The sequence below is a fragment of the Homo sapiens genome, chromosome 19 (genome assembly GCF_000001405.40).
Source record: "Homo sapiens chromosome 19, GRCh38.p14 Primary Assembly".
Lineage (NCBI taxonomy): Eukaryota > Metazoa > Chordata > Mammalia > Primates > Hominidae > Homo > Homo sapiens.
Window position 1 is genome coordinate 44,659,853 of NC_000019.10, and position 24,633 is coordinate 44,684,485.

At 47.6% G+C, this 24,633-nt stretch overlaps 2 protein-coding genes across 6 annotated transcripts in view; both read left to right on the plus strand.

Annotated features, from left to right (window-relative positions):
* Window positions 1-6,310, plus strand: part of PVR (PVR cell adhesion molecule) — a 22,253-nt gene extending 15,943 nt beyond the window's left edge. For all 3 annotated transcript variants that reach the window (NM_006505.5, NM_001135768.3, NM_001135769.3), the window contains 2 exons: window positions 1,440-1,471; window positions 1,888-6,310. In NM_006505.5, the coding sequence (NP_006496.4) occupies window positions 1,440-1,471; window positions 1,888-1,959 (104 nt within the window). In that variant the 3' untranslated portion in view covers window positions 1,960-6,310. The remainder of the gene's footprint in view (window positions 1-1,439; window positions 1,472-1,887) is intronic.
* On the plus strand, window positions 6,008-24,503 carry CEACAM19 (CEA cell adhesion molecule 19). Of its 3 annotated transcripts, NM_001389722.1 has the most exons (9): window positions 6,008-7,469; window positions 11,894-12,134; window positions 12,744-13,112; window positions 16,419-16,569; window positions 19,001-19,084; window positions 20,436-20,482; window positions 21,375-21,460; window positions 22,715-22,768; window positions 23,585-24,503. In NM_001389722.1, exons 2-9 carry the CDS (start codon window positions 12,080-12,082, stop codon window positions 23,636-23,638), a joined length of 900 nt encoding a protein of 299 aa, NP_001376651.1. In that variant the 5' UTR covers window positions 6,008-7,469; window positions 11,894-12,079; the 3' UTR covers window positions 23,639-24,503. The 3 variants fall into 3 exon arrangements, with proteins under 3 accessions (NP_001376651.1, NP_064604.2, NP_001121365.1); NM_020219.5 differs by lacking the exon at window positions 6,008-7,469 and having other exon boundaries at window positions 11,630-12,134; window positions 23,582-24,503; NM_001127893.3 differs by lacking the exon at window positions 6,008-7,469 and having other exon boundaries at window positions 11,630-12,134.
* Window positions 24,504-24,633: the final 130 nt, after the last annotated feature.

The following is a 24,633-nucleotide window of genomic DNA, read 5'->3' on the forward strand; positions in this document are numbered from 1 at the left end:
GGAAGTATTTGCTTTGAGAGATGAAGTTACCTGCCAATGGTCAAACAGCTGGACATGGTTGTTGGGGAGAAGAAGCCAGATCTTTGACTACCAAGCTTTTCCTTCAACCACTAAACAAAGCTGCTCCCTTACAACCCAGGCGGATACTGCCTCGTCCAGGAAGCCCTCCCTGACCCCCAAGCATGAGCCAAGCATCCACTAGGCTCTCCCACTCCAGCCTTGCCCATTCTGGGTCATCACCGTGGGGGACTTGTTTGTCATCCCCAGTGGACTGTGAGCCCCAAGATAGCAGACCTGAGGCTGTCACTGTCATGACTGTGTCCCCAGGACCGCCTACCACTGGGCCGGGCATAAAAGAGGCACTCGAGGAAGTGTTTGCTGAGTGATTCAATGTGTCAGCTCCAGAGCCAGACTGCCTGTATCTGGGCCCTAAAGCTACTGCTTGATTAGTGATGTCACCATAGGCAAATAGCTTAAGCTGTATGACTCAGTTTCCTCATCTGTAAAATGGGGTGATGGTACCTAATAATACAGTAGAGCACTTAACACAGTAGGTGGCACATGGTAAGCCACATACTGAGTATGTATTTGCTATGATTGTTATTGCTATTATTACTATTATTGTTATTATTAACATAAACTGCACAAGAGCAGGCTTTTTGTTTGTTTGTTTGTGTTTTGTTTTGAGACAAGATCTTGCTCTGTTGCCCAGACTGGAGTAGTGCAGTGATGTGATCTTGGCTCACTGCAGCCTCAACCTCCCAGGCTCAGGTGATTCTCCCACCTCAGCCTCTCGAGTAGCTGGGATTATAGGCGTGCACTCCCACGCCTGGCTAATTTTTTATATTTTTAGTAGAGATGGAGTTTCGTTGTGTTGCCCAAGCTGGTCTCAAACTCCTAGACTCCAGCAATCCGCCCACCTCAGCCTCCCAGAGTGCTGGAATTATAGGTGTGAGCCACCACGCCTGGCCAAGAGCAGGCATTTTTATCTGTTTTGTTCACAGCTGTGTCCCCAGCACCTAGAATGTACCTGGCACAAAGTAGACATTCACCATTTGCTGAATAATACTACTATTTGCTAAATAAACCCCTGTTGAATAGTCTAGGAAACTGAACACAGAGAGGTTAAGTCACTTGTCCAAGTTCACACAGCTCCTAAAGGACAGAGATGGAATTTGAACCCATCCATCTGGTTCCAGAGCCAGGCTCGATATTTATGGATATTTCATAACCAAGTGAATAACTGGATGGCTAAATCCTTAGAAAGCACACCCTCCATCCCTGTCTGACACACGTGTATACCATTAAGGGAAATGGCACCCCCATGTAATAGCAGAGGCAGAACTTGACATTTTCAGGGCCCTGACACCCAGGCATGTCTTCTTCCCATGCTTCCCAGCATTATTCCTTCCTGACGACTTCCCCTCCTATTTCCCCAGGTACAGAGCATGCCAGCGCCTCAGCTAATGGGGTAAGTGCAGTGTTGGAGCTAAGGAGGGTGTGGGGTCTGCACGAACTACAGACCAGACGTCTTCAGATGCCCACGGCCCGGCCTCAGGAGCCTGGGTCTTTTCTCCTGGTGCCTCGAGCAGCATTTCCCAACCCTTCCTGCTGGGCGGAATCCCCTGTAGAGTTTGCTAAGACGCAGCCCCAGACAGTCTGGTCTGTGATGGGGCCAGGGAATCTGCATTTTAATATCCGCTCTCTCCCCCCTGCCCCACGCCCCTTCAATTCCACCCATGGCCACACCTTGAGAAGCACTGCCCTGGCTTCCAGGGAGAGAGGAGGGGACGGGCCTGCAGTTCTTTGCACATGGGGCTTCAGTGGGAAGATGTTTGATTTTGTTCAAAAGAGCCCCAAGGCTAAAATTTGAAAACCCTCTTCTAGCATGTCTCCTATTCAGCTGTGAGCAGAGAGAACAGCTCTTCCCAGGATCCACAGACAGAGGGCACAAGGTGACAGCGTCGGGACTGAGAGGGGAGAGAGACTGGAGCTGGCAAGGACGTGGGCCTCCAGAGTTGGACCCGACCCCAATGGATGAAGACCCCCTCCAAAGAGACCAGCCTCCCTCCCTGTGCCAGACCTCAAAACGACGGGGGCAGGTGCAAGTTCATAGGTCTCCAAGACCACCCTCCTTTCATTTGCTAGAAGGACTCACTAGACTCAGGAAAGCTGTTAGGCTCACAGTTACAGTTTATTACAGTAAAAGGACAGAGATTAAGATCAGCAAAGGGAGGAGGTGCACAGCACACGTTCCACGACAGATGAGGCGACGGCTTCCATCTGCCCTCTCCCAGTGGAGCCATATAGGCAGCACCTGATTCTCACAGCAACATGTGACAACATGCAAGAAGTACTGCCAATACTGCCAACCAGAGCAGCTCACTCGAGATCTTTGTGTCCAGAGTTTTTTGTTTGTCTTGAGACAGGGTCTGGCTCTGTTGGCAGACTAGAGTACAGTGGTGAGATCACAGTTCATTGCAGCCTTGACTTCTCAACGCCAAGTCATCCTCCCACCTCAGCCTCCTGAGTAGCTATGACTACAGGTATGTGCCACCACGTCTGGCTAATCTTTTTATTATTTGTAAAGTCGAGGTTTCCCTGTGTTGCCCAGGCTGGTCTTGAACTCTTGGCTCCAAGTGATACTTCTGCCTTGGCCTCCCAAAGTGCTGAATTAAGCAGCTCACCATCCACACGGCTGACCTCATACATCAAGCCAATACCGTGTGGCCCAAGACCCCCACCATAAATCACATCATTAGCATGAACCACCCAGAGTGGCCCAAGACTCCAAGATCAGCTACCAGGCAGGATATTCCAAGGGCTTAGAGATGAATGCCCAGGAGCTGAGGATAAAGGGCCCGATCTTTCTTTGGGCAAGGTTAAGCCTTTACTGCATAGCAGACCACACAGAAGGGTGTGGGCCACCAGAGAATTTTGGTAAAAATTTGGCCTCTGGCCTTGAGCTTCTAAATCTCTGTATCCGTCAGATCTCTGTGGTTACAAGAAACAGCCACTGACCCTGGTCACCAGAGGCTGCAATTCAGGCCGCAAGCAGCTGCCTGGGGGGTGTCCAAGGAGCAGAGAAAACTACTAGATGTGAACTTGAAGAAGGTTGTCAGCTGCAGCCACTTTCTGCCAGCATCTGCAGCCACTTTCTGCCAGCATCTGCAGCCAGCAAGCTGGGACTGGCAGGAAATAACCCACAAAAGAAGCAAATGCAATTTCCAACACAAGGGGGAAGGGATGCAGGGGGAGGCAGCGCTGCAGTTGCTCAGGACACGCTCCTATAGGACCAAGATGGATGCGACCCAAGACCCAGGAGGCCCAGCTGCTCAGTGCAACTGACAAGTTAAAAAGGTCTATGATCTTGAGGGCAGACAGCAGAATTCCTCTTATAAAGAAAACTGTTTGGGAAAATACGTTGAGGGAGAGAAGACCTTGGGCCAAGATGCTAAATGGGAATGCAAAGCTTGAGCTGCTCTGCAAGAGAAAATAAGCAGGACAGAGGATTTGCTCTGGACAGAGATGGAAGAGCCGGGAACAGAGAAGTGTGGGGAAGAGATAGGAACCAGCAGGATGGCAGGGGCAAAGGGCTCAAGGGTGAGGAGGCCAGTGGGACCCCACAGAGTTGGGGAGATAAAGGAACATTGGTTGCTTTGGTGGCACGTAAGCTCCTTGTCTGTCTCCAGCACCCAGAATCTCATTAAAGCTTATTTATTGTACCTCCAGCGGCTGTGTGCAATGGGGTCTTTTGTGGAAATCAAGGAGCAGACAGGTTTCATGTGTACTGTCACCACGTGGGATGGAACCAGAGGCATGGAAGCAAGACGCTAAATGAAGAGGGCCATAAGGGCTGGGATTCCCAGGCACCTTAGGAACAGCTTGTCTTTTTTTTTTTCCTCTCCAAAAAAAATGTTTAAGGGACGGTGTCTCCTGTCACCCAGGCTGGAGTGCAATGGCACGATCATAGCTCATTGCAGCCTCTAACTCCGGGGCTCAAGCAATCCTCCCACCTCAGCCTACCAAGTAGCTGTGACCACAGCTGCCCCTCACCATGCTAAGCTAATTTTTTTAATTAGATAGTACATAAACGTCCCAAAATTAGAAGATAAAAAGACATGAGGGATCCATTCTAATTTGTGTTTGGAGTGTAATGGTCCAGCTCCATTCTTCTGCACATGGATATCCAGTTTTACACAACACTGTGAATGTAATGAATGCCACTGAATCATACACTCAAAAATAGCTAAAATGGCAAATTGTCTGTTATCTCTTTTTAACCACCATTTTTGAAAATTAATTATACCAAAAAACCATTGAATAGTGCACTTTATTTATTTATTTATTTGTTTATTTATTTATTTATTTTAGAAATAAGAGTCTCACTTTGTTGCCCAGGCTGGAGTGCAGTGGCGTGATCATGGCTCATTGCAGCCTCGACCTGCTGGGCTCGGGCTATCCTTCCATCTCAGCCTCCCGAGTAGCTGGGACTATAGGTGGGCGCCACCCCACCTGGCTAAATCTCTTTTTAACTTTTGTAGAGATAGGCATCTCGCTATGTTGCCTAGGCTGGGCTGGAACTCCTGGGCTCAAGTGCTCCTCCTGCCTTGGCCTCCCAAAGCGCTAGGATTACAGATGTGAGCCACCGCGCCCACCCTGAACCTTACTTTTTTTGCTCAGTTTCTGGTAATTCAGAGAATGCCTCCTGAGTTGTTCTACACCCACCTCATATTCCATGGGAGGGCTGTACAGGGCTTTTTTAACGAGGCCTCTAAGGACAGGCATTTGTATCCTTTCCAGCCTTTCACTATTACAATGTTGTAGTGAATAACTTTACACACTGTCATTTATTTTACTTTTTTTTTTTTTTATTTTAGAGAAAGGAATCTTGCCATCTTGCCCAGGCTGGTCTCAAATTCCTGGGCCCAAACAATCCTCCCGCCTTGGCCTCCTAAAGTACTGGGATTTATAGGCATAAGCCACCGTGCCTGGCCAATGCACACTGTCATTTAGCTCATGTTAACACCTGAGTGTAGGACACACTCCTGGAGGTGGAATTGCTGGGCCAAAGAGTATGTTTCTTGTCATTGTGATAGATATTGACAAATGAACCCTCACAGAAGTTGTGCTGAGTTCTGTTCCCACCAGCGACGTAGGCGATGACCTTTTTCTGGAGGGAGGGGGCATCCTTGGAGTCCACAGAGCCAGGAATGGAGAGTGGGCCCAGAATTTTGGTATAGGTGTTGTATAAACTTATAGTAAGGTTAAGAAAACCGCAACTATCCTTATCAGAGACTTGGCGGGGGGCAGGGTATGATGGAGATCATAAGGAGGCTAAAACACTCCACACCCTCCCTCTGCATTGCTCCTGCACGGGAGTCGGGAATCTTTTCAGGTTGATACGATCTCACCTTGAGGAGCTGTGAGGTCCCAGAAGCCTCTGGGTTGCAGATTGCTTGGGGTGAAAATGTCTGTGCTACTGAAATCTAACTTTTTACAAAAAATTACGGGCTGGGCGCAGTGGCTCACGCCTGTAATCCCAGCACTTTGGGAGGCTGCAGCGGGTGGATCACTTGAGGTAAGGAGTTCAAGACCAGACCATAGTGAAACCGTGTCTCTACAAAAAAAATTAGCCAGGTGTGGTGGTGCATGCTTGTAATCCCAGCTACTCAGAAGGCTGAGGTGGGAGAATCCCTTGAACCCGGGAAGTGGAGGCTGGAGTAAACCATGATCGAGTTACTGCACTCCAGCCTGGGTGACAAGAGTGAGACTCTGTCTCCAAAAAAAAAAAAAAAAAAAAAAAAACTGGATTGCCTGGCTCTACTCCGGGCACAGCATGCAGGCCCAGTTCTGCTGCTCTGCTGTTTGTTCTGCTTTCCTCCACATATTGGCATCACCCTCTGGTGCCAAGATGGCTGCTGCATTCCAGGCATCACATCCAGACTCAGACCCAGAGAAGCTGCCCATCCCTACCTGGGTGAGCCTTTGTAGGAACGAGAAACCGCATCCAGCAGCAGAAACCTCACCCAGCAGCGTCTTTTCCGGTCTCATTCACCAGCGCCGCCCACCGCTCAACCAATCCCTGGCCAAAAGAATGGGACCGCCTGGAAGGCTGGACCAAACAGGACCTGCCCTCTGGGGCTGGGGAGAGGCCCAGATGAAGGCTGCAGGACAGGATGGACTCCTAGACCTCTGTTACCAGCAGTGACTACCTCTGTCTGGGTGGTTGGAACATGTTTGAATTTTATTCTAAGTACTGTCTACAAGTTCTGCAATAAACCTTGACTCTTCTTTTAATAATGCAAAAGGAATCGAAGTGATTGTTTGAAAGGGAGAGGAAGAAAGAGAGAGGGAGGGAGGGAAGAATGGAGGGAGGCAGGGAAGGAGACAGAGAGAGTAGAATCCAGCCACCGGAAAATCCAGAATAGCTGGCTTTGCTTAATCCATGCCTGGAAATAACTGCTGGGTTTGCAACAACTTCTCTCCCGGAGACAGACCAAGGAAACTACAAAACTGCAGGAAGGATTGAAGGGCCGGGCACAGTGGCTCACGCCTGTAATCCCAACACTTTGGGAGGCCGAGGTGGATTGGATCACCTGAGATCAGGAGTTCGAGACCAGCCTGGCCAACATGGTGAAACCTCGTCTCTGCTAGAAATACAAAAATAAGCCGGGCGTGGTGGCGTGCGCCTATAGTCCCAGCTACTCGGGAGGCTGAGGCAAGAGAATCGCTTGAACCTGGGAGGTGGAGGTTGCAGTGAGCTGAGATCGTGCCACTGCACTCCAGCTTGGGCGACAGAGTGAGAATCTGTCAGGTGGATTCTGAGGGTACTCTGACCCCACGAACCCAGCATGAAATCTTCCAGGCATTAAGGAACATTGAGGATGTGGAGGATTGGAAATCCCTCCAGGGAAAATACACTTCTCTTGAGCAGGGTCACGAGGGGTGGGGGCAATGTGGGAGGTGGGGCAAATCCAAAGACAAGGTCAACAGCAATAATAATAATAACAATGACAGGCATTTGTTGCTTGTTGGCTGGGCCTCTTGCATACAGTTCTCCCAACATCCCTGTGAGGTGGTGATGCTTATCCCCATTCTCCAGGGGAGGAGGCTGAGGCCCAGAGAGGTGAAGTCGTGTGCCACAAAATACCCCAGCCATATGGTGGTAGAACCAAGTTTTCAGCCAGACTCACCAGCTCACAGCAGAGCTGCCCTGGACTCTACAGCCATTCAGTGTATAGCTGGGCCACTCCATCATTCAAGGCAGTTCAACGTCAAGATTCCTGATTTGCCTCAACCTGGGGCCTCTAGAAGATACCATCACCCCCAACAAGCTGAAGACGTGTGTCCGGAACACTCAGACACACACAAAGTGCTATGGATACACCACACCCCGACCTAGCTGTCTCTTCCTGATGGACCTCACTGGGTAGAAATGCCTGGCACCGCCTGCCTCAGATCCCTAGGTCAGCTCTCACTCCCCAATAGAAGTTTCTGAGATGATGATGAAAACGTTCTCCATCTGTGCTGTCCAATGGAGTAGCCACTGATCACTTGAGGCTAGTGAGCACTTGAAGGTGGCTAGTTTGAGGAACTGCATTTTTTAATGCATTTAATTTTAGTTACTTTGAATATATATACACATATATACATTTATATATACATATTCATACACATACATTTTACATATATTTTATATGTATATGTAATATATATATAAATTATATATGTATATATTTTTATATATAAATATATATTATATATTTATAAATATATAAATATATAATATATATTATATAGATATATAAATATAAATATATATTATATATATAAATATATAATATATATTATATAAATATATATAAATTATATATTTATATATATAATATATAAATTATATAAATTATATATATTTATATATAATATATAAATATATATAAATTATATAATTTATATATTATATATAAATTATATATTTTATATATAATATATACAATATATATAAATTATATATAATATATAAATATATATAAATTATATATAATATATAAAATATATATAAATTATATATAATATATAAAATATATATAAATTATATAAATCTATATAAATATATACTATATTATAAATATAGTATATATTTATATAGATTTATATTATTTATATAGTATATATTATATATTTATATGTTTATGTATATATAAATATATAATATATAAATATATTTATATATTATATATTTATATAATATTTTATATAATATGTTATATATTTTTATATAATATATTATATATATTTATATGCTATATTATATAGTATATTATATATAATATATTTTATATATTATATATATATTTATATAATATTTATATATTATATTTATATAATATGTTTATATATTATTATATTTATATAATATGTTTATATATTATTATATTTATATAATATGTTTATATATTATTATATTTATATAATATGTTTATAATATATATAATATATTTATATAATATGTTTATATATTATATATATAATATATTTATATAATATGTTTATATATTATATATATAATATATTTATATATTATTATATATATTTTATAATATATAATATATATAATATAATATATATATTATATATATTATATATATTATATATTAGTTATAATATAAATATATAATATATGTATATAATTATATAATTATATACATATTATATATGTATATAATTATATAATTATATACACATATTATATATGTATATAATTATATAATTATATACACATATTATATATGTATATAATTATATAATTATATACATATATTATATATTATAATATATTATATATTATATTATATATTATAATATGTATATATAAATATAATATATAATATAATATAATATAATATATATAATATAATATATAATTATATATAATATATATTATATATAAAATAATATATATATATTCAGTTTTTTTTTTTGGAGATGGAGTCTTGCTCTGTTGCCCAGGCCGGAGTGCAGTGGCACAATCTTGGCTCACTATAACCTCCACCTCCCAGGTTCAAGTGATTCTCCTGCCTCAGCCTCCCGAGTAGCTGGGATTACAGGCATGCGCCACCACGGCCAGCTAATGTTTGCATTTTTAGTAGAGACAGGGTTTCATCATGTTGCCCGGGCTGGTCTTGAACTCCTGACCTCAAGTGATCTGCCTGCCTCTGCCTCCCAAAGTGCTAGGACTACAGGCATGAGCCACCACGCCTGGCCTATTCAGTATATTTTTTTGAGACATGGTCTCACTCTGTCACCCAGGCTGGAGTGCAGTGTCATGATCAAAGTTCACTGCAGCCTTGACCTCCCAGGTTCAACAATCCTCCTGCCTCAGCCTTCTGAGTAACTGGAACTATAGTTGAAAGCCACCAAGCCTACCTAATTTTTTAAATTTGTTTTGTGTAAAGTTGGGGTCCTACTATGTTGCCCAGCCTGGTCTCCAATTCCTAGGCTCAAGCAATCTTCCCACCTCAGCCTCTCAGAGGGGTAGGATTACAAGTGTGGGTCACCTGTGCCTCCCTAAATTTATATTTAAATAGCCACATATGACTAATAGCTATGATATTAAACAGCATAACACTAGACCCTCCATTATCCAAGCTCTGTTGATCCAACCAACAGAGCACATTTGATCTCTCCTACCTCCCAGCCTCACACACACAGGCCCCACACCCTCCTTCCTGGCTCCACTCACCCAAGATATTGCAACCTCCTCAATACACCTTGATGACTATCTCAGCCTCCACATCCTTGCATTGCTATTTATGCTGCCTGGTGCACCTCATGCTGCCTCACCCCATCATCTGCCTCATTTCTACTCTTACTCCAGGTCTCAGCTCAGATGCCCCCTCCCCCAGGAAGCCCTCCCTAGCCGTCAGGTTGAATGAGGTGTGTCTCCTTGGGCTCTCCCAGACTCCTGGGCTCCTCCATCCCAGCCCTGATCACTCTGGATCATAATTGTGTGAGAGGGGTCTGCCCCCCCAAACCCTACAGGATTGTGTGCCCTACTGTGGACAGAGGGCAGAGCAGAGGTGGTCTCAATCATCACTGTGTCACCAACATCACCCAGCACACACAACTGGGCACTGGGAATGTGTGCTGGAATGAATGGAGGATGCTTTTTAAAAACTAGGCTAAGCCAGGTATGGTGAGTCACATCTGTAATCCCAGTACTTTGGGAGGCTAAGGTGGGAGGATCACTTGAGCCCAGGAGTTCAACACCAGCCTGGGGCAACATAGTGAGATCCCATCTCTACAAAACATATAAAAATTGACCAGGGATGGTAGCACACAACTGTGGTCCCAGCTACTCAGGAGGCTGAGACGGGAGGATTGCTTGAGCCCAGGAGTTGGAGGCTGCAGTGAGCAATGATCATGCAACTATACTCCAGCCTGGGCAACAGAGCGAGACCCTGTCTTAAAAAAAAAAAAAAAGAATAACACACTTGGAATAAACATGATCCAAAAAAGTACAAAACATACACTCTGGGGCTGGGTGCAGTGGCTCATGCCTATACTCCTAGTACTTTGGGAGGCCGAGGCAGGAGGATCATCTGAGGTCAGGAGTTTGAGACCAGCCTGGCCAACATGGCAAAACCCCATCTCTACTAAAAATACAAAAATTAGCCAGGCATGGTGACGCATGCCTGTAATCCCAGCTACTCAGAAGGCTGAGGCAGAAGAATCACTTGAACCTGGGAGGCGGAGGTTGCAGTAAACTGAGATTGTGCCACTGTACTCCAGCCTGGGTGACACAGCATCTAAAAAAGAAACCAATCCAAAAACTACAAAATATTCTTGCAATTATAGGTGACATATTTAAATGGTAAGACAACCAATGTTCATGAATGGAAAGACAGAGCAAGACCCTGTCTCAAGAAAAAAAAAAAAAAAAAAAAAAAAAAAAAACAGGCTGAGCGCGGTGGCTCACACCTGTAATCCCAGCACTTTGGGAGGCCAAGGTGGGCAGATCACCTGAGGTCAGGAGTTCAAGACCAGCCTGACCAACATGGAGAAACCCTGTCTCTACTAAAACTACAAAAGTAGCCGGGCGTGGTGGCGCATGCCTGCATTTCCAGCTACTCCCTGAGGTGGGAGGATCGCTTGAACCCAGGTGGCAGAGGTTGCGGTGAACTGAGATTGCGCCATTGCACTCCAGCCTGGGCAACAAGAGCGAAACTCCATCTCAAAAGAAAAAAAAAGAAAAACACGAGGCTAAGAGCTTTTTTTTTTTTTTGAGACGAAGTCTCGCTCTGTCACCCAGGCTGGAATGCAGTGGCGCGATCTCGGCTCCCTGCAACCCCTGCCTCCCAAGTTCAAGTGATTCTCCTGCCTCAGCCTCTCCAGTTGCTGGGATTACAGGTGCCCACCACCACGCCTGACTAACTTTTGTATTTTTAGTAGAGACAGGGTTTCACCATGTTGGCCAGGCTGGTCTCAAATTCCTCACCTCGTGATCTACCCACCTTGGCCTCCCAAAATGCTGGGATTACAGGCGTGAGCCACCGCACCCAGCCTGCCTCAGAGCCTTCAAGTGAGTCAGCCACAGGTGAAATCCCACCTCTGTCTATTGGCAGACTTGCCTCTTTTCCTGGGCCTCTGTTTCCACATCTGTGCAATGGGAACAGTTATTTATGGTGGCTGCTGAATGAGGCAGTGTGTGTTTGAACAAACCCAGGGGAATTGTTCAAACAGAGGCTGTTATGACTATTGCTACAGTGACTGCTGTTGTAGTCACGCTGAGTGAGAAAAAGAGGTTGAAGAGGGTCAGGGGAGGAGTCCTGGGAAGTTCCCCAGTCACCCTGAAAAACTGGTTCAACCTCTGTCTGTGCTCCCATCCCAGGGAGTATAGGTGGAGCCTCCAGAGCCCATGGACAGGGCATGCTGGGGCTGGGCCAGCCCCAGCGGTGTCTCTAAGGCACCCCTGGGATCCCCACTGAGCTGGCCTACTTCAGACAGCCAGGGCCCACCCCTCTGGCCCCCTTAGTGTCCAGCTCGTGGCCCCTTGGCATTTCCACAAGACGCCAAGATGGAGATTCCCATGGGGACCCAGGGCTGCTTCTCAAAGAGCCTCCTGCTCTCAGGTAAGGAGGAAATAGACCCTAAAGGCCAAGGGGAGAAATGGGGACTCAGCCCAGAGATTGAAGTTTCCTCTTAGAAGTAGGGAAAGATTACCTGAGAGGATGAAATTAGAATAAGATGGGGGAGGGGCAACAGAATCACAGCCTCATTGCCATTTTATCTATGGAATTTTCTATAATGTTAGGACCATGAAGGCAGGAATTTATGTATGTTTGGTTCCCTGCTATATCTCCAGTGTCTAGAAATTGAAGGAAGTTTAGATGTATTACATATAGTTGGTATTATAGCTTATATATTACATATGCCTATAAGTATTGGTTGAATAAATGAATGAATGAATGAATTCAGAGAGTCCATGTGTTTAGAAGCAGGCCACACAGCATCTCAAGGTAGAAAAACCTCTGGATCAACAGGATGGCAAATCTGTGGTAACCATGCCTGTGTTCCCACTCCTGCACCCAGGGCAGACATCACTAATCAATCCCAGCATTGTTTCCAATGAGCAGCACTCAGAGTCCTTGCTCCCCGCTGAAGATCTGTATCTAGAGAGGAGCATGCCATGGTCCCTGGCAACACCCCTGATCTCAGCCCTTCCCTGTAACTTCCCACAGCCTCAATCCTGGTCCTCTGGATGCTCCAAGGCTCCCAGGCAGCTCTCTACATCCAGAAGATTCCAGAGCAGCCTCAAAAGAACCAGGACCTTCTCCTGTCAGTCCAGGGTGTCCCAGACACCTTCCAGGACTTCAACTGGTACCTGGGGGAGGAGACGTACGGAGGCACGAGGCTATTTACCTACATCCCTGGGATACAACGGCCTCAGAGGGATGGCAGTGCCATGGGACAGCGAGACATCGTGGGCTTCCCCAATGGTTCCATGCTGCTGCGCCGCGCCCAGCCTACAGACAGTGGCACCTACCAAGTAGCCATTACCATCAACTCTGAATGGACTATGAAGGCCAAGACTGAGGTCCAGGTAGCTGGTAAGTGTTAGGGTCTGGGGATGAGGTGAGGAAGCTAATGAGCCCTGAGCAGCTACCATGCACCAGGTGCTGTGCAAACACCATTTCATTTGGTCCTCTCATTTATTCACTTGACACATATTGAGCATCTACTGTGTACCAATCCCCAGAGATAGTCTTTAACCCTCACATGCATTAACTAATAAAATATCTATGAAATGCCCGCCTTGTGCCTGACACTGGAGAATGCACCATCTCATTTACCTTTCACATGCACTAACATTAACCAAATTTTTATCGAGCACTTACTGTATGCCTGGTTGTGAGGAATGCATCCCTCAATCTTTATGTTTATAAAGCGAGTATTTACTGATGAATCCACTCGGGGCAAAGTGTGAGGGAAAGGGTGGTGGGCAATAATGACAGCTGGCATTTCTTGGGTGATCGTTAAGAGCCAGGCACCATCTTAAACATTTTCCCTAAAGCATAGTTTCTCAGCTTCAGCACTACTGATGTTTTGTATTGGCCAGTTCTTACTAGTAGAGGGTTTGTGCATTGCAGAGATTTCAGCAGCACCCCGGCCTCTACTCACTAGGTACCAGTAGCAGCTTCCTAGTCATGCCAACCAAAAATGTCTTCAGATATTACCAAATGTCTCCACCCTGGGATAAGAATCACCCCTGGTTGAGAACCATTACTCTATATTTACTCATTTTTACCTTAAAACAACTCCATGAGGCCAGCGCCATTATTGTCTCCATTTTACAGATTGAAAAATGGAGGCACGCAGTGGTTATGACTTGCTGAGTAAAGAATACGAACCAGAATGATGTGACATGGGAAAGGAGGTCATCAGGGAGACCTCACTCAAGAAGTGACCTTAGAGGAGAGACCAGAAGAAGGTGATTGAGGGAGGGAGGTGCTGTGGCCCCTTGCCATTTCCACAGGACACAGATCCCCTTAGAATTTATATGTTGAAATCCTAACCTCCAAGATGATGGTATTAAAAGGTGGGGCTTGGGCCTGGCACGGTGGCTTACACCTGTAATCCCAGCACTTTGGAAGGCTGAAGTGGGTGGATCACCTGAGGTCAGGAGTTCGAGATCACCCTGGCCAACATGGTAAAACCCCGTCTCTGCTAAAAATACAAAAATTAGCTGGGCATGGTGGTAGATGCCTGTAATGCCAGCCACTTGGGAGGCAGGAGAATCACTTGAACCCAGGAGGCAGAGGTTGCAGTGAACCGAGATCATGCCACTGCACTCCAGCCTGGGCAACAGAGCAAGACTCCATCTCAAAAAAAAAAAAAGTGGGGCTTGTGGGAGGTGATTAGATCATGAGGGTACAGCACTTGTAAATAGATTGTATGCCCTTATTTTTTTTTTTTTCAATTTAAAAGCAAGATTGTGGAGACAGGGTCTTACTGATATTGCTCAGGCTGGTCTCAAACTCCTGGCCTCAAGCAATCCTTCCACCTTGGCCTCCCAGTGCTGGGATTACAAGAATAAGCCACCATGCCCAGTCTCAGCTCACTGTAACCTCCACCTCCTGGGCTCAAGCGATCCTCCCACCTCAGCTTCCCATGTAGCTGGGACTGTAGGCGCATGCCATCACACCCAGCTAATTTTTTTTATTTATTGGTAGAGACTGGGTTTCACCATGTTGCCCAGGCTGGTCTCCAACTCCTGAGCTCAGGCAATCCACCCACCTCGGCCTCCCAAAGTGCTGGGATTACAGGCGTGAGCCACCACCCCTGGCCCCTAGTTAAATTTTAAAATGAGTTTTGGACAGTGAATAGAAAAAATTTTACAGAAATGGATGAAATAGGCAAAAGTCAACTCAACATATGCATTAATTTGATTACACAAATCTGCATAAAATGACACTCTAGTCCGGTTGGAGATAACAGTCCTTACTTCACTTGTGGAGCCTGAAGTGACTTCTCCCCACATTTCCGGGGTTCCCAGGTCACAGGTGCCCCCTTTGGAAGCTGCACAGCATGGTCATTAAGGAGTTCAGGTGGCCTGGGTATGATCCCAGCACTGCACTTATTGTGAGCCATCAAGCAAGTCAATTTACTGTTCCATGCCTCAGTTTCCTTATCTGTAAAATGGCATAGAGCTTACTTCTTTGTTGGATCATTCAGAGAACAGCGTGTGTGTGTGTGTGTGTGTGTGTGTGTGTGTGTGTGTGTATTTCAAACTTCATAACAACCCTAAGAACTAGGTATTCATATTATCCTCATTTCACAGACGAACCAAGTCACAGAGAGATTGAGTAATTTGCCCAAGGCCACACCGCCAGTGGGCAGCATTAGGATCCCATAGTCTATGAGCTTAGCTGCCAAGACGGGTTGGGATAGAACAGATGTCCAGCTTGAGAGTAAAGCTGGGAGGTCAGAGGGTAAGAGCCAGGTAGGCGTGGTCTTAATTCTAGCAAGTCCAGTTTAAGAATCCTCCAAGTCCCCTACATCTCCTGCAAAACACAGCCCAGAACCTCATCCTTCTGCTGAAGGGATTCAGGTATCATCAACCGAAGTGAGAAAAAGCAAAGCAGATTGGGTCTGGGCTCGGTGGCCACGTCTGTAATCCCAACACTTTGGGAGACCAAGGCAGTAGAACTACTTGAGTCCAGGAATTTGAGACCAGCCTAAGTAATTTAGTGACACCCCTTCTTTACAAAAAATTTAAAAATTAGCCAGGAGTGGTAGTGTGTGCCTGTAGTCCCAGCTACTTGGGGGACTGAGGTGGGAGGATGGCTTAAGCCGAGGAGTTGGAGGCTGCAGTGAACCGTGATCATGCCACTGCATTCCAGCCTGGGCAACAGAGTGAGACGCTGTTTCAAAAAAAGAAAAAAAAAAATCAGTTTGATGGGGTAGGGTTGGGGAGCATGTCAGCAAGCAGATTTTGGATGTGCTGAGGATCGTATGAAATCCTAGGGAAGCAGCAACATCGAGATATAGGACAGCTAAGGAGTTCCATCTGGGACATGTTGAAATTTTTTTTTTAATAGAGATAGGGTCTCACTATGTTGCCCAGGCTGGTCTTGAACTCCTGGGCTCAAGTGATCCTCCCCCATCGGCCTCCCAAATTGCTGGGATTACAGGTGTGAGCACCACGCCCAGCCCGCTGGGACATGTTGGATTTTATGTGCCACCCAGATGGTTGGATACTCAGATCTGAAAAGCAGGAGAAAGCTCTGGGCTGGAAATAGGAAACTGCACCTCAGTTCTCCATGCAGTCACTGATATAGTCGGTGAGGGACTGGGGGAGCCCTCAGGAGACATCGCACAGTCCCCCCTCTCTCTTTCTTTCTCTCACCCCTCAGAAAAGAATAAGGAGCTGCCCAGTACACACCTGCCCACCAACGCTGGGATCCTGGCGGCCACCATCATTGGATCTCTTGCTGCCGGGGCCCTTCTCATCAGCTGCATTGCCTATCTCCTGGTGACAAGGAACTGGAGGGGCCAGAGCCACAGGTACAGGGTCCCCAAGTGTCCCTCTCCTGTCTGCTCCCACTGTCTTCTCAAGCCCCATGGATTCTTCCACAAGTCACATCATCCGGCTCATACACAATCTCATCAAATCTTGGAACTCCTGGGGTGAAAAGAATCTTTCTATCCTGTATTAAACAGAATTCTGCATTGCAAGGGACAGAAAACCTATTCTTAAACTGACTTACCAAAAAGAAGGAATTTTAGTCAGGGTCTCGCTCTGTCACCCAGGCTGGAGTGCAGTGGCACAATCACGACTCACTGCAGCCTCAACTTCCCCGGACTCAGGTGAGTCTTTCACCTCAGCCTCCCAGGTAGCTGAGACTACAGGTGTGCACCACCAAGCCTGGCTAATTTTTTTTATTTTTGTAGAGATGGGGTTTTGCCCAGGCTGGTCTCGAACTCCTGGGCTCAAGTGATCCTCCAGCTTTGGCCTCCCAAAGTGCTGAGAATACAGGCATGAGCCACTGTTCCCTGCCCAAAAAACAAGGAATTGTTTAATACTACATAACTTATTCAGGTAGGCTGCATCCAGGGGCTCAATGTTCTCAAATGACTCCTTTATATACTCGTCAACTCTGTATTTTTCTTCGGTGGCTTCATTCTCAGGCAGGCTCTCCCCTGTTGCCACAAGATCACTCCCAGGGGGCCCAGGCTCATACTCCACTGGTTTAGCCATTCCTAGCAAGGAGACCACCTTGTTCCTGGTAGTTCCAACAAGAGCCCCAAGTCTACCTCTCATTGGCTTAACTCAGATCACATGACTTTTCATGAACCAATCACTGTGGCCAGGGGTTGGTGGCCAGGGAAAGCTCTGATTGGCCAAAGTTGGGCTATTTGTGCAGCCCCAGAGACTGGGCTAGATCCAACTCCGTTTAATCAAGTGGATTGAGAGTGTAGACCGGCTCTCCAAAGGAAAACAAAACTGGTTGCTATTGTCAAAGAAGGGGAGTGGGCAGCAGCAGGCACAGCTATCAGATGCTACCTACTTGTATGGAGAGAGAGAGAGAGAGAGAGAGAGGAGAGAGAGGAGAGAGAGACAGTCCTGTTTCCCCCAGGGAGAGTCTATTCGTGAAAAATTCCTTTCTTATGACATCAGCGTCTTCAGAACTTTGTCTCTTGAAATTGATTCTGAACTGATTGTAGATAAGATGTCTAATTTTTCTGCCACTCACCAGTTCCCAGAATATGAAAGCAGCAATTTTGTCTCCTTTCTCAACTCTTCCTTATGTGCCATGGATTCTGTTTTCTTCTTCTTCTTTTTTTTTTTTGAGACAGAGTCTTGCTGCAGTGTAGTGGCGCAATCTTGGCTCACTGCAACCTCCACCTCCGGGACTCAAGCAATTCTCGTGCCTCAGCCTCCCAAGTAGCTGAGACTACAGGCGTGCACCACAACGCCCGGCTAATTTTTTGTATTTTAGTAGAGATGGGGTTTCACCATGTTGCCCTGGATGGTCTCAAACTCCTGATCTCAGGCAATCCGCCAGCCTCGGCCTCCCAAAGTGCTGGAATTACAGGCATGAGCCACTGCGCCTGGCCTATTTCTTTTTCTTTTTTAAAGAGACAGGGTCTTGCTTTATCACCCAGGCTGGAGTGCAGTGGCATGATCATAGTTTACTGCAGCCTCAGACTCCTGGGCTCAAGTGATCCTCCCACCTCAGCCTCCTGGGTAACTGGGACCACAGGCCTGTGCTACCACACCTGGCTAATTATCTGTATTATTATTTTTTGTAGAGATGGGGTCTTGCTATGTTGCCCAAGCTGACCTCAAACTCCTGGCCTTAAGCGGTCCTTCTGCCTCAGCCTCCCAAAGTGCTCGAATTACAGGCATGCATCACCATGCCTAGCTTATTTTTTACTTTTTGTAAAAATAAGATCTCCCTGTGTTGCCCTGGCTGTCTTGAATTGCTGGGCTCAAGCCATCCTCCCATCTCAGCCCCCCAAGTAGCTGGGACTACAGGAGTGCACCATTTCCAAGCTTTTTTTTCTTCTTCTTCTTGTTTTGCTCTTGTCGCCCAGGCTGGAATCCAGTGGCGCGATCTCGGCTCACTGCAACTTCCGCCTCAGGGGTTCAAGCGATTTTCCTGCCTCAGCTTCCTGAGTAGCTGGAATTACAGGCACCCACCACCTCGCCTGGCTAATTTTTGTATTTTTAGTAGAGACGGGGTTTCACCATGTTGGCCAGGATGGTCTCAAACTCCTGAACTCAGGTGATCTGCCCACCTTGGCCTCCCAAAGTGTTGGGATTACAGGCATGAGCCACTGAGCCCAATTACTATTTTTTTACTCAAAACCGCACACACACCTTCCACCCCCTCCCCCCTCTCCATTTTCCTTCATAGGGAAGGATGTTGCTCTCTGATATTCTACTGTCAATGCTTTATTCCAATTTTCTTCCCCTCTCTTTCCACCCTAGACTGCCTGCTCCGAGGGGCCAGGGATCTCTGTCCATCTTGTGCTCGGCTGTATCCCCAGTGCCTTCAGTGACGCCCAGCACATGGTTGGTGCTTGTAAATACTTATTTAGTGAACTAACAAACTTGCTATAGCGGTGTCAAGAGTACTTTTGTTTTCAGAGTCAAAGTCTCACTCTGTTGCCAAGGTTGGGGTGCAGTGGTGCGATCGTAGCTCACCGTAGCCTCGACCTCCCTGGTTCAAACTATCCTCCCACCCGAGTCTCCCAAGTAGCTGGGACCCCAGGTGTGCACCACCACACCTGGCTAATTTTTGTAATTTTTGTAGAGACGGGATCTCACTTTGTGAGTCAGGCAGGTCTCAAACTCCTGGCCTCAAAAAAGTCTCCTACCTTGGTCTCCCAATGTGCTGGGAGTATAGTCATGAGCCATTTCACTTGGTTCCAGTGTACTTTTAAAATTAAGGGTATTCAGGACGGGTGCAGTGGCTCATGCCTGTAATCCCAGCACTTTGGGAGGCCAAGGCAGGTGGATCACTTGAGGTCAGGAGTTCGAGACCAACCTGATGAACATGGTGAAACCCTGTCTCTACTAATAATACAAAATTAGCAGAGCATGGGCCAGGCATGGTGCCTCACGCCTGTAATCCCAGCACTTTGGGAGGCCGAGGCTGGCGGATCACGAGGTCAGGAAATCGAGACCATCCTGGCTAACACGGTGAAACCCCGTCTCTACTAAAAATACAAAAAATTAGCCGGGCATGGTGGCAGGTGCCTGTAGTCCCAGCTACTCGGGAGGCTGAGGCAGGAGAATGGCATGAACCCGGGAGGCGGAGCTTTTAGTGAGCCGAGATTGCACCACTGCACTCCAGCCTGGGCGACAGAGCGAGACTCTGTCTCAAAAAAAAAAATTAAAATAAAATAAAATAAAATAAGCCGAGCATGGTGGCACACACCTGTAATCCCAGCTACTTGGGAGGCTGAGGCAGGAGAATCGCTTGAACCCAGGAGGCGGAGGTTGCAGTGAGCTGAGATCACGCCATTGCACTCCAGCCTGGGCAACAGAGCGAGACTCTGTCTCAAAAAATTAAAAAATAAAAAATAAATAAGGGTATTCAAATGAATCTATGTAAAGAGAAATATTAAGGAAATCATAAGACAGGTGGATGAAGCAGGATCATTTAGGTGATCTCTGTAAATGGTGATGTCTGGGGAACACTATTCATTGGCATAAGGTGGTGGCTAGGGAAACTGAGGGATTGCGGATGAGGATTATGGAAGAAAAGTCTGGGATAGTTCAGGCCTCATCCTAGCTCACTCTGAAGGAGAGACCATGTGGCTTTCAGGGACCTGGTGGGATTTCCAGCTTCTCTTAAGTCTCTCTCCCCCCGCCTGAGTGTCTCTCTATCCTAATATCAATTCCCTCTATGTGTCCCCAGGATGGCGACCACAGAGAAGCCAGAATTGGGCCCTGCTCATGATGCTGGTAAGGCGGGAGCCCCAGATCTCACTACCTAGCCCTCCTCTCAGCTCCTCCTTTCTCCCCTATAGCCACAAGCCCGCTTATTCTCCCTCACTCAGAGACCTCCCAATGCACCTGCCCCGAGACCTCTCTGGGGCCCCCTGAACTCACCCACATAATCTGAGCGCATCGGCACCCACCCCAAACCTGCTTTTTCTCTTCTTCTCAGTGGCTAGCATCCCCATCCCATCATGCAAGTGGATCCCATCCACCTCCACAGGCCACTACCAGCCTCCTAGACCCCCCACACCCAGCTCCTCACTGGTCTCCCAGCCTCCAGACCCCTCCAACCCATCCCAGGACAAGGTCTTTCTAAAATTCTGATCATGTTACTCCTCTGCTCAAAGGCCCTCCATGGCTCCCCTGTGCCCTTGGGACAAAGTTTAGTCTCCTTAACATGGTTCTCAAGGCCCTTCACAAGACAGATCAAACACAGTTTCTGAAACACAGCTGGCTCTCTCACCAGACCTCTGCACTCACCCTCTCCTGCCTTAGCTTCACTCACTTCTCTCTACTATCTCAGATGCCCCCTCCTCCAGGAAGCCCTCACTGAGTCCTAGGCTACTTAGGCACCCCGTCTTGGGCTCCCACCCGCCCCCAGTCCCCCGACTCCAGCCCTAAACACTCCAGGTTGTCACTCTGGAGACTGGTCTGCGTCCCCCACTGGACTGTAAGTCCTGGAAGGGCAGGCCTGGGACTGTCGTGGTCAGCACTGTGTCCCCAGCACTGGGTTTGGCTAGAAGAAGCGTTTGCACAAATGTTAGTTGAATAAATAAATAAATGAATGTCAACAGGCAGTCAGAGTGGCCTGTGGGGCCCATGTGTCAGCTGGTACCTCCCCTGGCCTCTGTTTCAGGTGACAACAACATCTATGAAGTGATGCCCTCTCCAGTCCTCCTGGTGTCCCCCATCAGTGACACAAGGTCCATAAACCCAGCCCGGGTGAGTCCCGTCCCCAGCCTCTCCCCTGAAGCCAATGCTAACAGGCGCCTCCTCTCTGAGCTGGCTGTGGTCCTCTGGGCCATCTTGACACCAGGTTTGGGAATCTCAACTCTCTATATATTGTTCCCTGTTTTTAAAAATCCTAAGGAAAAGAGACTGGAAGGAAACAGCACAACAGAAGCAGCATTTGTCTCCGGGGTGTGGAGGCTGGTGGGTGGGTTTTATCTTCTTTTCTTTTATACTTGTCTGTGTTTTCTGCACTGAGCAGCCACTACCTTTATAATGGGGAGGTTTTATATATATATAACGAAAGGTTTATAAAAATGAGTCATTTAGGCTGGGCGTGGTGGCTCACGCCTATAATTCTAGCACTTTGGGAAGCCAAGGTGGGTGGATCACCTGAGGTCAGGAGTTTGAGACCAGCCTGGCCAACATGGTGAAACCCCGTCTCTACTAAAAATACAAAAATTAGCCAGGTGTGATGGCACATGCCTGTAATCCCAGTTACTCGGGAGGCTGAGGAAGGAGAATCGCTTGAACCCAGGAGGTGGAGGTTGCAGTAAGCCGAGGTCATGCCACTGCACTCCAGCCTGCACGACAGGAGCGAGACTCCATCCCAAAAAAAAAAAAAGTTATTTAGATTAAATAAAAAGAGAAACTTAGCTGGGCATGATGGCTCTACACCTGTAAATCCCAACACTTTGGGAGGCCAAGGTGGGAGGATTGCTTGAGGCCGGGAGTTTGAGACCAGCCTGGGGAACATAGCTAGACCCCATCTCTACAAAAATTTAGCTAGGCATGGTGGTGTGCACCTATAGTCACAGCTACCAGGGAGGCTGAGGAGGGAGGATCACTTGAGCCCAGGAGTTTGAGGCTGCAGCGAGTGGTGATTGCACAACTGCACTCTGGCCTGGGTGACAGAGCAAGATCCTGTCTTTTTCTAAAAAAGTGAAAAATAAGAGAAACATAAAACACTAAGGCTAAGAGCTTAGAACCAGAGGTGTTGACAGGGGTAGACTGAGAGTTAATGGAGTGGTTGACGGGCCACTGGATACCACACGAAGCTGGGGCCCAGTGCCCATTTGTCAGAGGAGAACACTGAGGTGTAAGGAAGCTAATCCCCTCTGCCCAGGGGCCTCACAGTCTGGGAGGGGTGATGGGGACTTGGAATCTGAGACTGTCCTAGCACCAAAGGTCAAAGTTTAGAGGGTGGGGGGTGCCGAGCGCCCACTCACCCGTGTCCTTCCCTTGCAGCCCCTGCCCACACCCCCACACCTGCAGGCGGAGCCAGAGAACCACCAGTACCAGGTATGGAGCTGGGAGCTGGGAGGGGTGGTGGGGATCCCACGGATCCAGGAGCCCCGAAGCCGGGGTGGGGAGGGGTCAAGACAACTGAAACTGGGGGCTTTCCTCCCCTCGTCCCCCCAAGCCTCACGGTCTCTGCTCTCGAAGAAGCCCAAACCGCCTCCCTGAGAGACCCTGGCAAGTCCCTTTTCCTCCCAAGGCTGCAATTTCCTTCTTTGCAAAAGGGATCCAAAACCTTGAACTTGCACAGGAGGAACAAGGCCCAGAGAGGGACAGGGGATTGCCTGGGGCCACACAGCCAGTCAGGTCCCCAGTGAAACCCCACCGCAGAGCTCAGTCCCTCTCCATCCCCTCCTGTCAGCTGTCTGTCCCTGTAGTTCTGTCTCTCTCTCTCAGTGGCCTACATATGTCTGTATGTCTGTCTTCCCCTTTCTTGGACTCTCTCTCTCTCTCTCTCTCTCTCTCTCAGTTTCTCTTGCTGTGTCCTTTTTAATCTGTCTTTCTGTTTCCAGTTTGTTCATGCTGCCTTGTCTAAGATGCATCTCTTTACATGTCTTCGTTTCTCTGCATCTCTGTCTCTCTCTCTCTCCATTCTCTGTCTCTCCTGCCTCTTTGTCTCTGTCACTGTGTCCACCTCATTTCTTGGCTCTTCCAGGACCTCTTGTCTCTGCATCTCACTCTCTTTCCACCTTGCTCTTCCATTCTCTCTGCGGGTTTCTCTCCATCTCACGCTGTCTCTCATCCTCTGTCCCTCTCTGTCTCCCCAAGACTCTCCCCCTCCACCCAGTCATAATTCTGTTCTCTCTTCCCCCCAAGCAGGACCTGCTAAACCCCGACCCTGCCCCCTACTGCCAGCTGGTGCCAACTTCCTGATGGGTCCTGGGCCAGGCCAGCCAGGGAGAAGACAAGGCCCCAGCCCTCCTCTGGGAGCCTCACACCTGAGACCAGCAGGACAAGGCCATTGGGGGCTGTGGGGCCGATGAGGTGGACTCAGCCAAAGACTCAGCAGCACATGGGGCAGGTGTCCTGGCAGGGGGACAGGAGACTGTAACAGGCCCAGGTCCTTGTGCAGCCCGTGAATGCACGCCCGCCTTCGGTCTGTTCCTTCAAGCAAGCTGGCCTGGGCCATGTGCCTGTGAAAGGCAGGCTCTGGCCCCTTTCCATGCCAAAGTCCCCCAAGATCTGGATATCTGGGGACAAGATGGTGGCCTCAGGCCTGCCTCCCAGGCAGTTGGCTGGGCTCCCAACTGTCTGTCCTCAATGCCCTACCCCAACTCCACTAGTGACCCTCAGAGTCTTCTCCCCTTAGGACAAGGCAGACACCCCACCATGCGGGCCTCAGGTGGCAGAGAGGCCCAGCCTCACAGGCCTGTGGCCCCACACACCAGTCCCAGCAAGGTGACCACGGCTGCTGGACCCCTTCCCTGTTCAGGCAGGCCCAGCCCCTCTCAGAACCTGCTGCCAGCTGCTGGTCTTGGCCCCCACCCTGAATCTTACTGAGTCCCTCTGGGCAGCAGCTCCCTTCTCCACCCCACCCCAGCACCCGTCCCAAATGTGGCCTCAGCTTGTCCTCCCCTTCCCCAAACTATGCATTCATTCAGCAATAAATGAGCCTTTGCTGTATGCCAGACCCAGTTCTAGGCTCTTGCAGCCCTGGTAGAAAGCAAAACAAAAACTCCCGCTTTCCCAGAGGGTCACTTGGCAGGGGAAAGAATCAGGAAATAAAATAAATAATGAACATGCGTTGTCTGTCAGATGGGGATAAGTGTATTGGGGAAATGGAGGGGGGTCGAGAGTATTGGGGGACTGAGATTTTTAATTAGGGCACAGAGGTCCTCGCTGAGAAGGTGACAAATGAGCAAAGACTT